The sequence below is a fragment of the Homo sapiens genome, chromosome 1, assembly GCF_000001405.40.
Source record: "Homo sapiens chromosome 1, GRCh38.p14 Primary Assembly".
Taxonomy (NCBI): Eukaryota; Metazoa; Chordata; class Mammalia; order Primates; family Hominidae; genus Homo; species Homo sapiens.
In genome coordinates this window covers 159137910-159154955 of record NC_000001.11, presented here as the reverse complement: position 1 = coordinate 159154955, position 17046 = coordinate 159137910, and the positions used below count along the sequence as shown (strand labels likewise).

Sequence of the window (17046 nt, the reverse complement as noted above, 5' to 3'; positions counted from 1 at the left end):
TCTCACATCAGTCAGAATGGCGATCATTAAAAAGTCAGGAAACAAAAGATGCTGGAGAGGATGTGGAGAATTAGGAAAGCTTTTACCCTGTTGGTGAGAGTGTAGATTAGTTTAACCATTGTGGAAGACAGTGTGGCGATTCCTCGAGGATCTAGAACTAGAAATACCATTTGACCCAGCAATCCCATTACTGGTATATACCCAAAGGATTATAAATCATGCTACTATAAAGACACATGCACATGTATGTTTATTGTGGCGTTATTCACAATAGCAAAGACTTGGAACCAACCCAAATAAGCATTGATGATAGACTGGATTAAGAAAATGTGGCACATATATACCATGGAATACTATGCAGCCATAAAAAGGATGAGTTCATGTCCTTTGCAGGGACATGAATGAAGCTGGAAATCATCATTCTCAGCAAACTATCACAAGGACAGAAAACCAAACACCGCATGTTCTCACTCATAGGTGGGAATTGAACAATAAGAACACTTGGACACAGAGCAGGGAACATCACACACTGGTGCCTGTCAGAGGGTGGGGAGCTGGGGGAGGGATAGCATTAGGAGAAATACCTAACGTAAATGATGAGTTGATGGGTGCAGCAAACCAACATGGCACATGTATACCTATGTAACAAACCTGCACATTGTGCACATGTACCCTAGAACTTAAACTCTAATAAAAAAAACAAAATAACTAAATAAATAAATAAACAAACAAATAGTCCTGGCTACAGAGGATAAACTATCTGAACTAAGCCAAGAGCAGTGGGAATGGAAAGTGAGGCATACATTTGAGAGCTATTAAAGAGACAGAGTGGATAGACCTTAGTAGCTGATTAAATTTGGAAGATAAAGTTTTAGGGAGAGGAGCCTTGACTCACTCCACATTTCTGGCTTAAGAGACTGGATGGCCAGTTTTGTCTCCCCAAAACTGTTTTTATCAAATCAATCTTCCTTCAATTTACTGTTATGTAGCCAATTCTATTACTGTGGTTCAGATCTCCATTATATCTTACCTTGACTACTGAAAAAGCCTCTTCACTGTGCACTCTTGAAATTATCTGCTACAGCCAGAGTGATCTTTCTAAAATGCAAATCAAATCATCGTTCTCCCTTACTTAAAACCCTTCACTGCCTCTGCATCTCCTACAGGATTACAGTTGACCTTTAACATGACATATGTCGATCTGCATGGTCTGATTTTTGTTTCCACATGCCTTGTCACTTCCTGCCTGGGATTTTGAACTTCAGCAATATCTCTCATTTCTTGTAGTTTCTTACACAGACAAGATGGTTTTTGCTGTATTTTTACTCATGCTTTCCTGTCTTATCTCCTTGGCTCCCCCAACACACACACACACACACACACACACACACACACACACACACACAAAATCTCTGTCCCCATCCCTCCCTAACCTCTTCTTTTGCTCTGTTTACAGCTATTCTTACTTTGAACCTCAGCTTAGGTCTGCAGCTCTAGAAAACGTTCTTAGACTCCTCAGACTGGATTCATTTGCCCATTTTTGTTTTTGTAGCATGCTGGACATATGATTTCTAGAGTTGGGCAACTTTGTTTCATGACTTTGTTTATTTTTCTGTTTTTGACTGTGATTTTTATTCAGAATAGACATATCATCATTATCTTTATATCTCCAATACTCAGCACATTTCTTATTATACAGTAGGTATTTATGGATTTATGGAGCAAATAAATTAATAAATGAGTAGGTGGATGATGGTAACCATTAATTAAACTAGTGGATTAGGCCGGGTGTTGTGGCTCACCCCTGTAATCCCAGCACTTTTGGAGGCCGAGGCGGGCGGATCACCTGAGGTCAGGAGTTCGAGACCTGCCCAGCCAACATGGTGAAACCCTGTCTCTGCTAAAATACAAAAATTAGCTGGGCATGGTGGCAGGTGCCTGTAATCCCAGCTACTAGGGAGGCTGAGGCAGAAGAATTGCTTAGCCCAGGAGGCAGAGGTTGTAGTGGGCTGAGACTGCACCACTGCACTCCAGCCTGGGTGACAGAGCGAGATTCCGTCTCAAAAAAAAAAAAAATGAATAAACTAGTGGATTATGAAGAACAGGTTTATGGGGAAATATAAGTTCTTATTTGTACATTTTGCAGTTGAGATCACTGTGAGTCACATAGGGATGGCAATCTAAAGGCAGCTGAGTATCCCAATCTGGATTTCACGTGATATGTCTGATTTTAAGATAGAGATTTAAGGGTTTTCAGCTCATAGCTGGTAGTACATATGGTACATATGCCGTTTACAATCACCCAGGAAGAAGATATAAAGAAGAGCACCAAGGTACAATGTATGGCAGTGTTTTTGACCACAACTCATATACCTATATATATACATTCATATGTAGCTGATACAAAGATTTCATGAAACAATACATGGTTTTTTTAGAGGGTGATACCCTCGGCTATTTTCTTTTCTATTCTGTCATATCCTATTCTATCATCTCTTTTCTCTGCTATTTAATAATATAAAAGTACTGCTAACCTTCTGGCTTGCAATCTGATAAGTGTCACTCTTTGGAACACTGATATTTAAGAAGGAAGAGGAGGAGCTGGTGAAAGAGATTGAGAAGGAGGGACTGAGGGATAGGAGGTGAATGAGAAGAGAGTGGCATGCCCCAGAAGCAAGAGGAGTCAGCATTTCTAAGGGTGAAGATGGGGTCACTAGTGTGGAATGCTGCAGAAACGTGAAGTGAAACTATTGAATTTGACAATTAGCAACAAGCCATTAGTGACTTTAGTGAGGACATTTAACAGTTGCTAGAGTGGAGTCAGTTGAGGAATGGATGGGGTAAAGGGGAAAGAACCAAAGCATTAACTATTCTTCCTAAAAATAAAGACCGTTCGGTGCTAGTCTACTAAAGATTTTCTCTTTCTTTATCACACTTATTTCTTATAATGACTTTACAAGATAGATATTATTACTTCTGTAAATTTTTTTTTTTTTGAGATGGAATCTCACACTGTCACCTGGGCTGGAGTGCAGTGGCACGATCTCGGCTCACTGCAACCTCTGCCTCCCAGGTTCAAGCGATTCTCCTGCCTCAGCCTCCCAAGTAGCTGGGATTACAGGCGTCCACCACCACACCTGGCTAATTTTTTGTATTTTTAGTAGAGATGGGGTTTCACTGTATTGGCCAGGCTGGTCTCGAACTCCTAACCTAGTGATCTGCCCGCCTTGGCCTCCCAAAGTGCTGGGATTACAAGTGTGAGCTACTGCGCCCGGCCACTTCTATGGATTTTTAAAATCAGATAAGTAATTTGAATCTCAGAGATCATTTAGGTGCCTTTAGGTGTCCATCATCATACACAGCTGAGATTCAAACCCTGGGTATCCCAACTTGAAAGTCTATAGTTTTCTAATTGGATCATAACTGTTTGTCTATTTTTGTGATATTGGATACATGATTTAATTTCTGTGGTTCTGAGTTTATTAATCTATGTAATTACAGATGGAGAGGCTTGACAAAAATTACAGACTACAGAAATATAGAGTATAAAGAGCAAACATTCACCCACTTAGCATTATCGGTTTGATCTTCAAATTAGTTTTTCTCTAAATTTATAAAAGTAATAAGAATATGTGACAAAAATTCAGCTGATCCATGAATAAAAGAGACTTGATTATTTTAAAACCCTTTTCCATTTTGAGCATTCTGTGATTCCAATAAGAGGTTATTTGATGCTTTTGATTTTCTAGTTTACCAGTTAAGAATAAATGCAAAGCATTCTGCTCTTCCCTTCCCTGCACTCTTTGTGTAAAGATTATGTTGGGGATTCCCCTCAATAAAATAATGGCAAAGCAAATCCAGCAGCACCTCAAAAAGGTTATTCACCACGATCAAGTCGGCTTCATCCTTGAGATGGATTCAACATATGCAAATCAATAAACATAATCCATCACATAAACAGACCCAATGACAAAAACCATATGATTATCTGAATAGATGCAGACAAGGCCTTCGATAAAATTCAACATCCCTTCAAGCTACAAACACTCAATAAACTAGGTACTGATGGAACATATCTCAAAATAATAAGAGCTATTTATGACAAACCCACAGCCAATATCACACTGAGTGGGCAAAAGCTGCAAGCATTCCCTTTGAAAACTGGCACAAGACAAGGGTGCTCTCTCTCACCACTCCTATTCAACATAGTATTGGAAATTCTGGCCAGGGAAATCAGGCAAGAGAAAGAAATAAAGCATATTCAAATAGGAAGAGAGGAAGTCAAATTATCTCTGTTTGCAGATGACATGATTGTATATTTAGAAAACCCCATCGTCTCAGCCCCAAAACTTAAGCTGATAAGCAACTTCAGCAAAGTCTCAGGATACAAAATCAATGTGCAAAAATCACAAGCATTCCTATACACCAATAACAGACAAACAGAGAACCAAATCATGAGTGAACTCCCATTCACAATTGCTACAAAGAGAATAAAATACCTAGGAATCCAGCTTACAAGGGACATGAAGGACCTCTTCAAGGAGAACTACAAACCACTGCTCAACGAAATAAAAGAGGACACAAACAAATGTGAAAACATTCCTTGCTCATGGATAGGAAGAATCAATATCGTGAAAATGGCCATACTGCCTGAAGTAATTTATAGATTCAATGCTATTCCCCTCAAGCTACCATTGACTTTCTTCACAGATTTAGAAAGAACTACTTTAATTTCACATGGAACCGAAAAAGAGCCCGCATTGCCAAGACAATCCTAAGCAAAAAGAACAAAGCTGGAGGCATCACGCTACCTGACTTCAAACTATATTACAAGGCTACAGTAACCAAAACAGCATGGTACTGATACCAAAACAGATACATAGACCAAAGGAACAGAACAGAGGCCTCAGAAATAATGCCACACATCTACAACCATCTGATCTTTGGCAAACCTGACAAAAACAAGCAATGGGGAAAGGATTCCCTATTCAACAAATGATGTTGGGAAAACTGGCTAGCCATATGCAGAAAACTGAAACTGGACCCCTTCCTTACACCTTATACAAAAATTAACCCAAGATGGATTAAAGACTTAAACATAAGACCCAAAACCATAAAAACCCTAGAAGAAAATCTAGGCAATACCATTCAGGACATAGGCATGGGCAAAGACTTCATGACTGAAACACCAAAAGCAATGGCAACAAAAGCCAGAATTGACAAATGGGATCTAATTAAACTCAAGAGCTTCTGCACAGCAAAAGAAACTACCATCAGAGTGAACAGGCAACCTACAGAATGGGAGAAAATTTTTGCAATCTACTCATCTGACAAAGGGCTAATATCCAGAATCTACAGGGAACTTAAACAAATTTACAAGAAAAAAACAAGCTCATCAAAAAGTGGATGAAGTATATGCACAGACACTTTTCAAAAGAAGCCATTTATGCAGCCAACAAACATATGAAAGAAAGCTCATCATCACTGGTCGTTAGAGAAGTGCAAATCAAAACAACAATGAGATACCGTCTCATGCCAGTTAGAATTTAAAAGTCAGGAAACAACAGATGTTGGAGAGGATGTGGAAAAATAGGAACACTTTTACACTGTTGGTGGGAGTGTAAATTAGTTCAACCATTGTGGAAGACAAGGTGGCGATTCCTCAAGTATCTAGAATTAGAAATACCATTTGACCGAGCAATCCCATTACTGGATATATACCCAAAAGATTATAAATCATTCTACTATAAAGACACATGCACACATATGTTTATTGCAGCACTATTCACAATAGCGAAGACTTGGAACCAACTCAAATGTCCATCAGTGTTAGACTGTATGAAGAAAATGTGGCACATATACACCACGGAATACTGTGCAGCTATAAAAAAGAATGAATTCAAGTCCTTTGCAGGGACATGGAAGAAGCTGGAAACCATCATTCTCAGCAAATTAACACAGGAACAGAAAACCAAACACCACATCTTCTCACTAATAAGTGGGAGTTGAACAATGAGGACATATGGGCACAGGGAGAGGAACATCACACACTGGAGCCTGTTGGGGGGTGGGGGGCAAGGGGAGGAATAGCATTAGGAGAAATACCTAAGGTAGATGACGGGTTGATGGGTGCAGCAAACCACCATGGCACATGTATACCTATGTAACAAACCTGCATGTTCTGGACATGTATCCCAGAACTTAAAGTATAATAATTTAAAAAAAAGATTATGTTGGGGATTCCAAGCAATTATCTCAACATACTGATTTTATTTCCTTGGATATATACCCAGTAGTGGGATTGCCGGATCCCATGGTAGCTCTATTTTTAAATGTCTTAAGAACCTTCATACTGTTTTCCATAACGGCTAGCTAGAGTTAACCATTCCACAATGTATATGTACTTCAAAGTACCATGTTGTGCATAGTAAAAACATACAATATTATAGGTCAATTAAAAAAATAAAAATAAAAATTTAAGAAGAGTGACTCAGTAACACTGTAGTGAAATTTTAAAAAGCACCAAATTAGGAGTTGGAAAACCTGGAATGGAGGACCAGATTTGTGAATGCCAAGCTGACTGATCTTGAGCAAGTTGTTTTATTTAATCTGGAAATCAGTTTCTTATGTCTTAAGGTAGCTGGGAGGAGAATGAGCACTAAAGAAGAACCCATAGAGAGCTCTCTTACTCACCTGCCTGTGCTGTTTGTTCTCTTTTAAGCAGGACAACCTTTGACCTCACTCTGTGGCCCTTCTCAGGGCTGGCTGGCCATCCTGTCCTATGCTTAGGGCACTCTTCGATGGTTGCAAAGACTGGGAAGAAAGTTGGGGGAAAGGTCTCAGAATTTTGTTTCCTGGAACAAATTGTAATGAAGGCAGCTGGTGCCTCTTAGCAGACACCTTCTGTTGAGGCCTCCCTGTAGAGGTCACAGAAGTCAGGACACTGTATGGTAGCTCACCCTAGTCCCACCTCTTACAAGCTGAGGTACTTAGGGCAAGCCACCTAATGTCTTTGATTAAGGTTCTTCTTTTGTAAAAGAAAAATAATGATGATCACTCTTCCAACAATCTAGGAAAGTTCTGATGATAAAATGAGACAATTCAAAATATCTTTATTATCATTATTACTATCATTGATACTGTTTCTTAGAATCATAGGTAGCATGAGAAGCCCTTGGAAATTCAGCTACTACCTTCTAAAGGAGGAGAACATGAAGGAGATGAGCTGGCCAACTCAAGGTAAAATGCTTCCCCTGGACCCTGTCTTCCGTGTGGGGACTTGATGTTCTTCAGGGACAGACTTGAAAAGAGCCACTTCTGCTGTATAAGGACCATGTACAGACCCTTCTGTAATTTGTCAGACGTAAGGTTCTTGTGTAAGGACAAGTTTAGTCTCTAGGATTGAAACTTTCATGGTCACGCTCTTTGGTTTAATTAAAGTGATGGACTGTGAAAGATGAACACCTTTCTTCTCTTGCCATTGCCGAGGAGTCTGCCTCACTATGTAACCCTCAAGGCTTTTTCCAGGCTGAATGGGAAGTGGGGCTGAAGTAGGGGACAAATAGCAAAAGCCTAATTTACTTATAATATTAGGCAAAAAGCAATGTTCTTGAATCCCTTGGCCTATAATCATAGAATCCTTGACCCTTTAAGGATCTCTTTTCTAATTCTTTGGCATCTGGCCTAGGGTATCTGGCCCTTTAAGGATCAGGGGCCCCATAGTGGCTAAAGATTAAGAAGCCCGGTTGCCAGTCCATTCCCATGGCAACTCAGTGCCATGGGGATTAGCAGGGCCCTATTCAGGGCCTCCCAGTTTTAAAGCCAGTGGCACACGCAGTCCCAGGCAAAGAAGTAAAACAAATATAGGTGTGTTGTAGAGTCAGGCAGAACCCAGAACGTCTGGAGATGAATGTAGGGAAGAAGGAAGGACCAGCAAGTTCTTCCAGGTAAGCCTCAGGAATCTGGTGCTGTATGGATGGGATGGAAGGAGATTTAGAAGGATGGGTACTACAAGTTGAAGATTTAAGGAGATGAGATAAAGACTAAAAGGATGGTGGGCAAGTAAAGTGGTCTGAAGAATGAAATCTGGTGAAAAGAAAAAGAAGGCCTGAGGATGAAGGGCTGACAATAACAAAGACTCTAAGTCCAAGCAGTAGATTTTAACGACAGCGGAATTTAGAGGCCTGGGAAGCTCAGAGTGCCTTGAGGTTGATGGCTAAGGGGGGCAGAGACAGAGAAGAGCAGTGGGCTGAATCTAGGGAAGACTGGGAACAATGAGTTTGGCCAATGTGTTTGGTGTAGATGGATCCTAGGGCAGATGAGAACAGATAATGACTTGGCCAATAAATTGGGCATTATAGAGATTACACAGTAAAGTATTAGGGAATGCCAGTTGCAGAAAGTGGGGAAAGTGAAATGGACAGAAATGAGCAAAGGCGTGGACAGAGGTGAGAAGAACATTTTAAAGCAGGAAATGACTAAGGGTTATATACCCCAAGGAAGAAGGAGACATTGATGGGGATGGCAAGAAGAAAATGTAAGAAGACAGGACTGGGAATCTACACAAGCAGGTGATGGCTTGGGGTTAGAAACAGCAGGATAGAGGGTCCTGATTCTAAGGAGGATAAGGGAGAGTGAGCTAGAAAGTTAGCACCAGGAATCATCTTATTTCTTGGGTTTGGGTGAAGCAGAAAGTTTTCCCCCAAACTTCCCAGAAAGATCTGATGGGACATGACAACCTACTGCCCTCCCATTTGTTGAACACTACTAGTTTCCTCATCCTTCTTGACCAAAGAGATACTTCATGTCCTTAGAGACACACTCTCTAGAATTCTTTTTTTTTTTTTTTGAGGGGACAGTGTCTCACTCTGTCACCAGGCTGGAGTGCAGTGGCGTGATCTTGCTTCACTGCAACCTCTACTTCCCAGGTTCAAGTGATTCTCCTGCCTCAGCCTCCCGAGTAGCTGGGACTACAGGCACGCACCACCATGCCCAGCTACTTTTTATATTTTTAGTAGAGATGGGGTTTCACCATATTGGCCAGGATGGCCTTGATCTCTTGACCTCGTGATCTGCCTGTCTTGGCCTCCCAAAGTGCTGGGATTACAGGCATAAGCCACCATGCCTGGCCTCTAGAACTCTTTAAATGGCTTCCTGGAGAATCTGTCAGAGGTGGGTGGGAGGTAATAAGGAAAGGGAGATTCTACCTCCAGATTTCTCAGCATTTCTCAGACTCCCTTAGGGAGTTGACCTCTGTATGGACTTTCTTGTGACCTTGACTAGCCCTGGAGGTCCAGCCCATTGTTAAGATAGATTGGTTCTGGGTCTACTTTTGGAAAGGCTTGAGAGGCCTCAATAGCTCAGTTTGACTGGGCTAGACTTGGAATGGTTTCTGAAAGTTGGATGGGATGATGAAAGGATAATTTGCTCCGTATTTGTCTTTCCTTGGCTTGATTCTCATGCTGAATTGTTACCTGGATTATCTCATTTCTTCCCTCTTCAAGTATGAGAAAGGGGACTGAGGAGAAAGGAACAATCTGCAGTCAGGCTGACAGGCTAGGAGGGAGGAAAGATAGACTTGGGAACATAAATGCTTTATTATGATGGGTCAGAAAATGCATAATAGGCATGGAGAAATGAATATGGGGCAAGACCTCCTGAAGATGAAGTGTCTGGAAAAGGACTGAAGGGCTTTTGCATTGTGGGTATGTATGTCCATTTTACCCTTCCTTAAGGGGTAGGAGTTATGACCTGAACATCTGCACAGTAGGTCTCACTCTATAGGCCTGACATTGCAAAGCACCTTTTCCAGCCTTCCTGGGAGGTACTCACAGGAGGAAAGACCTGGGCTAGCTCCTTAGGGGTGAGATAGTAAGAGGGAGCTGATAGCAGGTAGGAACATGAGAAGATGGTATATGGTAACACTTCTAGAAGTTGTGCTCACAATAGATGTGGATTAATAAGGTTTACGGCATCATAGGGCCTGGGAGATGAAAGTATAGTATGTAAGGGCTGTGCTATCTGAATGACAAATTCACTGTCTTACTCCATGCGATAGCCCTTAGAATTTAAAATACGGACTAGTTGGTATAGGAACCTTTAGAGAAGCTGTAAGTAAGACCACAGTAGGATGTAGGATTTAATTGGACCAAAGGGAAAATTTGAAGGGCATTTATCATATGTATCCCAGCAACACCTTGTGAATGAAATAGTGTATGAGCATCACTAGTTTGTCTGTAGGGTCACAAAGTGGTATTCAATTAGAGGTATGAGTAATGTTTGAGTCACAGATCTTTGGAGAATTAAATCAATACAGATTTTTTTTTTGGAAGGTGAATGTACTTTTCTTCCAGAGAGTTTACGTAAACATGAATGACATACAGCCAGTTTAAAAGAAGAAAAAGATGTACTGGCTTCAATCATTTTGAGTGACTTGACTTCACCCTTCCTGCCCTTTAAAACTGTAGATTTATTTGATTGTTTCTCTTCTTATTTTAAATTAAAACCTAGTTTAAAGACATTATCGACACTATCAAGAGGCTTTGTCTGTTTTATGGATGATAAAGCAAAATGAGATGTCAGAGAGACATCTCTTATTTGAAAAAAGTCCTCAGACAAAGTCCAGAGTACTTTTGTTGATATACATTATAAGTATAAGGAGACACTTGTTGGTGGGGGGCATTTTTGCTGGAATGAAGAGATGTCTGTGGAGTGGTGAGAGGAAGATGAAGGAAGGGTATTCAAAGGGAAAGAAGCAATCCAGTCAATAGAGTTGAGAATTAACTCATGGAATAGAGGAAGAAAGGGGACAAACACTCTGCCTCATGAAATCTCAGCTGATCTTTATCAGTAGCATATGTTAGTGCCCCTAGTTTATAATAAAGAAATGGAAGATCAGAGTTAAGCAATTTTCTCAGAGTCTCAAACCAAGTAAGTTATACAACTTCCTATGAAGATGGATCTTTCTGCTCCCAGGGTTATAGCCTTTGTGTGGACTTGCAAATTGTTATTTTATTTGGTGAGTAAAAAGATTGATTCCTTCTTTTCTCCCATACATGTTTCAGGGTCATTCCTACGTTGGAATTTGCCTATGGGATTCTCGAGAGTAGAACCATGCCATGATATATCTCTCCATCATTGTATTCCCAGCAGCAAGTGGGAACATTACAGATAATGAATGAAGCTCCTGGAGGGAGTTGGAGAGCTGGGACTCTTTATTCAGGTTGTAGACAACACATGATCTTATAAGAAGCAGTGATACTTTGGACGTCACTCAGGGGGCTGATAGATTTCTTGGATATAGGACAATATATTTATGAAGAGCAGTGTGTGTGTGTGTGTGTGTGTGTGTGTGTGTGTGTGTGTGTGTGTGTGTACACACTGAGCCTGGCAGTAAGTATCTTGAGAGTCTAGCTTTTCCTTTCCCTTACACTGGAATGGTTCCTTGCTAGCCTGTGCTGTTAACCTGCCCTTTACAACCATATAGTCCCCTTGACTAACTCGTTCATCAGCACCTTGTTACTAGCCACTCAGAGTAATACAGTCTCTGGATAGAAAGGTCTATTCTGTGCCTTCTTGTTTCAAGTCTATAATAGACACAATCAGTCTCATTTTTCTGAGCTCCCATCTCTAGGTCGTAGATGGAAGGCAAGCCTGGTTGGAGTAGCTGCTTTCCCCCTTGTGTTAGAAAGAGCCTTTTGCTTATATTCCTGATCTGACTGAATTGCCTTGGTTATGTTCTCTGCCATGTCTCATTCCTAGGGCTATATGAATGGGTAGGGAAGTGGGAGATGTTGTAATTGTATTCTTAGAGTCGGAAAGCCCTTAAGGGTTTTCTAATCTAATTGTTTCATTTAGTCATATTGTTTCTTTACTTGGCCATCACCTGGCCTCACAGGTTAGAAATAACTATCTTGTATGATTGGAGTTGGCTGGCAGTGTCCAGAGCTGGGGGCTGTGGAGACACACAGTGAGGGAGAAGGAGGGATATCTGAGTTGGCTCCCTGCTTTTATTGTAACCTTTTGATGAGGAGTGGGGTGGTGAACACAATCAGTCTTTAAATCAATGCATTGTCATCGGGAGCATAGAATCCAATTATTCCCATGTGTCTGGGAACCAAATAGGAGAAAATGAGCTGAAAGTGAGGTAAGAAGGATTTGGATTAGACATTCAGAAAAATGGGCTCAGTGGAAATTATAAACAACGGTGATTATGGAATTGTCTTCTATGAGAGGCTTCTAAAAATAGAAATCATTTTCTTGGATCTGAGCTGGGTATAGAGGTCTTTATATATGGTTATGGAGGGTTGGTCACTTTGATTGTACTAGGATAGTTGTAAAAAGCACAGACAGCTGAGAAATCCTTGTTCTTCAAAGTAGGTAGCCCTGGGGAAAAAGGCTGTCAGGGATTCCGGGCTGAGCAAGGTGGGGGAAAGAGATACAGGAGGGCTGTGTGAGGACATCTACTTCATCAGAGATCTGCCACTCTCACCCTCCAACCCTATGTGTACACACCCACTCTTCCTCCCTCTATCTCTCATACACACACTCTCTCACACATATACGTTCACACATACTTACACACTGAACACACACACTGAACACTGTTTTTTCTTCACTCCCATGCTTAATTCTAGTGAAGATGCTGAAGGAACATCACATCAGACTCCCTGTACCTCTTGCCTGGGCTTGACAGATACAGTTCTTATTGCTGAGAACCAGACCAGTCTCTTAGAACTCAGCTGCCATTCTCTGCTGCCGTTGTTCACAGTGTTCCTTTACGGAAGCAGCTCCTTTGTCTCTGGGATCGAGGGTTTTCCTGAATCCCCAAGCGTTGCCCAGCCCCTGTCTGAGAATAGCTGGACTGGGATGAAACCACAGTGAGGGAGTGGGGGTGGAGGTAGAGATGGCTTCTGCGTTTTCTGCAGGGTTGGGTGCACTCTGCTTAATTAGCATGAGAATCGAGAGATTTTCGTATCATCCCTAAGGGATGGAGAGGAAAGGAGAGCAAAGGCTCTAGTTCTGTCCTGTTCCATCAGGGATTCTGAGTCTGGGAAATTGACTGCTGTCACATTCCCCCAATCCTCTGGGGACCATCGGACCCAGAGTATTGAGAAAAGCTTTGATGAAGCCGGCTGGTGGATCTCCACTCCAGATTTTCCAGCTGTCCCTGTCCCCCCCCACCGCTCAGAGAGCAGGATGCTGAGATGGCTCGGTGATGCAGAAGGTATGTGCTTTTTCAGTTCTGGTGCTGATGCTGTGTGTGTGGTGAGGTCTCTGTGGCGCAATGGACGAGCGCGCTGGACTTCTAATCCAGAGGTTCCGGGTTCGAGTCCCGGCAGAGATGGTCACCTGGCAGGTGCCTCTTTTATTTTGACTACTGTCATGCTAGGTTGATAATTATATTTACTCCTCCCTGGAGGCTATAGGGGAGAGAAAGGAAACCCTTTTCCTTGAGAATCCTGGACCTTCTCTCTTTTTGTGTCCCCTCCCTCTTCATTCTTTCTGTATTCCTCTCTTACAGATTTTCATTGTCTAGTAGAGGCTCAGATGTCTGCTGCTTCTCTCTGTTCAGCCCGACTGACATAGCATTTGAATCCTTTACTTCACAGTTAGATAATTGGCACATAGTGACCAAGACGGAAAGTCACAGGTTTTGGAACCACTCTGATTCCCTCCTTTGACCTCTGAGACCACAAAAAGGCAGATTGTCCCATATGCCAATGAGAAAATGTCCAACTGTCCTCTGAGGTAACACCTTCCTTGACCAGGGTTATCATTTGGTGGATGTCAGGATGTCTCTGCCTGACACGGTCATGCAGAGGGTAGTTTCTTGCACTGTCTGTCAGCTACACTTTTTCATTCCTGAGGCTTTTTGCGCTCAAGCTCATCACTCACTTTCTGATCTGTCAGGTGAAATGTAATCATTGCTCTTTGTCTCAGTGGAATAAACCACAGAGCAACACACTAATTACCAGCAGCAAGCTGGATGAGCTTGTCCCCAGAAACTCGAAGGTTTTATACTTAAATGCTATTTACTGTGAAAAGTTTGTACCCCTTTCTGTTTGTAGGACAGACTTCAAGTGTTGTATCTGAATGTTATTTCCATAATTCCTGATTTTCAAAAAGCCATGTTCTCACCACCTCTCTCCTCCCGCGTTCATTTTTGCTGTCTCCTTGTCTTGTCTAATGGGCCACATTTAGCCAGATTGGGAGCTTGGTCAGATTGTGTGATGTAGCTTGGATTTCTATTTTGGGCTGGTCTGGCTCTCTCCCTTGCATATTGCTACCTCTAGCTTATTAGCTAGAGGGAGCTGCCCCTGCCAGGAACCGACCTCCACCTCAGGTGAACCCAGGAAACCTGAGAAGATACGTGTCCCAGGACTGCTGGGGAGACTCAGCATCTCTCCCATGCGGGACTCTGGACGGGCGACCAGAGGACACAGCTGTGCACTTGCACTCTAAGGAAGCTGAGGTGGGGGAGGCGGGAAAGTCCACAGAGGAGTTTAAAGCAGCCATGCCAAAAGGTAAGGGGAATTGACAGTGTAGATAGGAGGACCCTGGAGGGAGATTGATGTTTGCTGCTTCCATGTGTGCATGTTTATAGCAAATGGAAACTTTTGAAATTCTCTTGAAGTAGTATGGTACTTTAAAGACTTAAAATTCTTCTAGTAAGAGCTAACATAGCTTTACATTTCTGGGTTACCTTGGTGGAAGGCCAATTCAGATGTTATCTCTCTCCCACTGGTCCCATAGATATGCCCTTTGGAGGACATGGTGTGGACCAGAAGTTCCTGGGCATTCTTTCCTGGAGCCTTTTGTTTATTGTTAACTCAGCCTATCCTAGATATTTTTGCTTTAAGCCCTCGCCTGAAAGGAAACATTAGTGTGTGGTAGTGGTGGGGGAAGGGGAAGGGGAAGGGAGTTCAGGAAAGGGGTATGTCACATTTTTCCACCATAGTCTAGAATACTGCATACATCTTCCTGATTCTCCCTCCATCATAGCATGGTAATGGAGGTGCTTAACCATGAGAATTCCGAGAAGGTAAGGATATTATTTCTATATCACTGTTAAAATTCGGGGCAAGGGCCCACTCGATGGTTTGCTCATTTCTAGAGTCTTTCTGGAAATAATGATCAGACTTCATGGAATTGTGAGGGCTGGGGATGAGGTGGAAACAGGGCGGGTATGTGTGCCCAAATAGACAGTGTGTTGGGATTTGTTTAAATGTTTGATCAGAATTTGATAGAGCCAGCTCTTTATGTGAAGCTCTATACCTGTGAGAATTAAAATCCACAGATAATTCCCCAAGCCTGATTTTGTCTTGTCATTTCTATTCCCTATCTTGGAATCAGAAGACCTCGGTATAAGAAGCAGCTTTGCCAAGTTGCCGAACATCTGCACTTTAATTTGCTTATGTATTAAAAAAAAGAGTATATTGTCTTTCCTACAAGTGTAAAAAATGGATGAAAAGTTTGTTGTACAGCACTGTGCAAATATAGAGGCTATGTTAGTTTTCAAGTTGCTTTTGTCTTTCTCCTAAGCATACGGGGAGGGTACCTGGACACAAAATAGGGAAAGGAAAGGGTCTGAATGCTCAGCCCCTGCCTGGAACATCCAGGGTGGCTGTGTGTCATCAGCAGGGGCAGATGCCACCCTGTGCTACCCTAAGAGGTCTGATTGGAGTTTTCTAGCTGGCAGGATCCTTCAGAGAGCATGTGGTCCCTCTGTGCCTTAGATAGGAGACTTTATCTCAGCCAAGTAGGTAGAGGGTCCTCCTGGCTACCCCACTCAAGGGAACTAGAAGCTTCTGCTTATTTAACTATTGCCTAGCCTTCAACTCTCTTCATCCTGAGGGGTGGTGTTTTGGAGACTTGAAGGATATCACCAGGACTGGGGAAAAGATTTTCCACATGAGTAAAAATTCTTCTGTGTGTGATAACAATTTTCTTCTGAATACATAAGGGATATCTCCTAATTTATGAATATCATAATTACTGTATTTTAAAGATACTCAGAATGTAAAATAGAAATGGGTGTGTTTTTTATGAAGTCACTTCACTGTAGGACTCAAATACTTCAGAGATGCTGGAGCTGATCATTAATTGAAAAGTATGCGGGCAGGATATGTGTTATTTATTATTGTATTCTCAGTGCCTGAAATATGGTAGGCATTTGATGGATATATTTGAAAGAATTAATGCTGACTTCAATTGACTATAAATTATATAGATAGGAAAGAGAAAGAGATTACTCCTAGCTTCCAGGGAGCAGGAGCACAGACAGTATCTTCAGGCATTAATTCACTTATTTAACAAATATTCATCAAGCACCCACTTCATGCCACTTCCCATTATTCCAGGCACCAAAATAGTAGATTCCACCTTCTTCATGGAATACATATTCCCATGATGAAGACAAATGACAGACAGGTAAATAAATATTATAATAGCTAATAGCATTTTAGGTAGTGATATGTACTATGGAGGAATTTAAAGGATGCTTGGGGATGGAGAGTGATGTGATGAATGATGGTTGTGGAAGACCTCTCAGAGGAGGTGGCTTTTGAGTGAAGACCTGAGTGAAGTGAGGGCAATGAGATTTAGGGGATGGGCATTTCAAACAGAGAAACAGCAAGAGCAGAGACTCTGATGTGGGCACCAGCCTGATTGGAAAGCTGACAGGTCAGTGTGGTGGAGTGGGAGGGAGTGATGGGAAGAGTTGGGATTAGAGTTTGATACAGGGCACACCATCTAGGACAATGTTCTCAACCCTATGACATCCAACTCTGCCTTGTTAGGTCCATTATTTCTTCAATTCTTCTCTACTAACCTGCAATGAAATTCATAGATAACATAACTTTCCCATGCCCATAATGAAAACTAATCAATATAATACCCTAATTGTAATGTAAGAGAGGAATAAAAAGAAATAAACTTATAATAAATAGTATACATTTTAGTACATAAATGCCATACCAGCACCCTTGCACCTATATGAAGACCCACCCTGAACGCAACAGCTACATATGCAGACCAGTGCAGGCA

General features: G+C 41.8%; 1 protein-coding gene and 1 non-coding gene across 3 annotated transcripts in view; both read left to right on the top strand.

Annotated features, from left to right (window-relative positions):
• The first annotated feature begins 7823 nt into the window (after positions 1–7823).
• The window catches only part of AIM2 (absent in melanoma 2), a 92082-nt gene continuing 82859 nt past the window's right edge, over positions 7824–17046 (top strand). For both annotated transcript variants that reach the window (XR_007064924.1, XM_047434809.1), the window contains exon 1: positions 7824–7946. The gene's annotated coding sequence lies outside the window, so the exon portion shown is untranslated. The remainder of the gene's footprint in view (positions 7947–17046) is intronic.
• TRR-TCT4-1 (tRNA-Arg (anticodon TCT) 4-1) lies at positions 13272–13345 on the top strand. The gene has a single exon. It is a non-coding gene; the product is annotated as a tRNA-Arg (tRNA).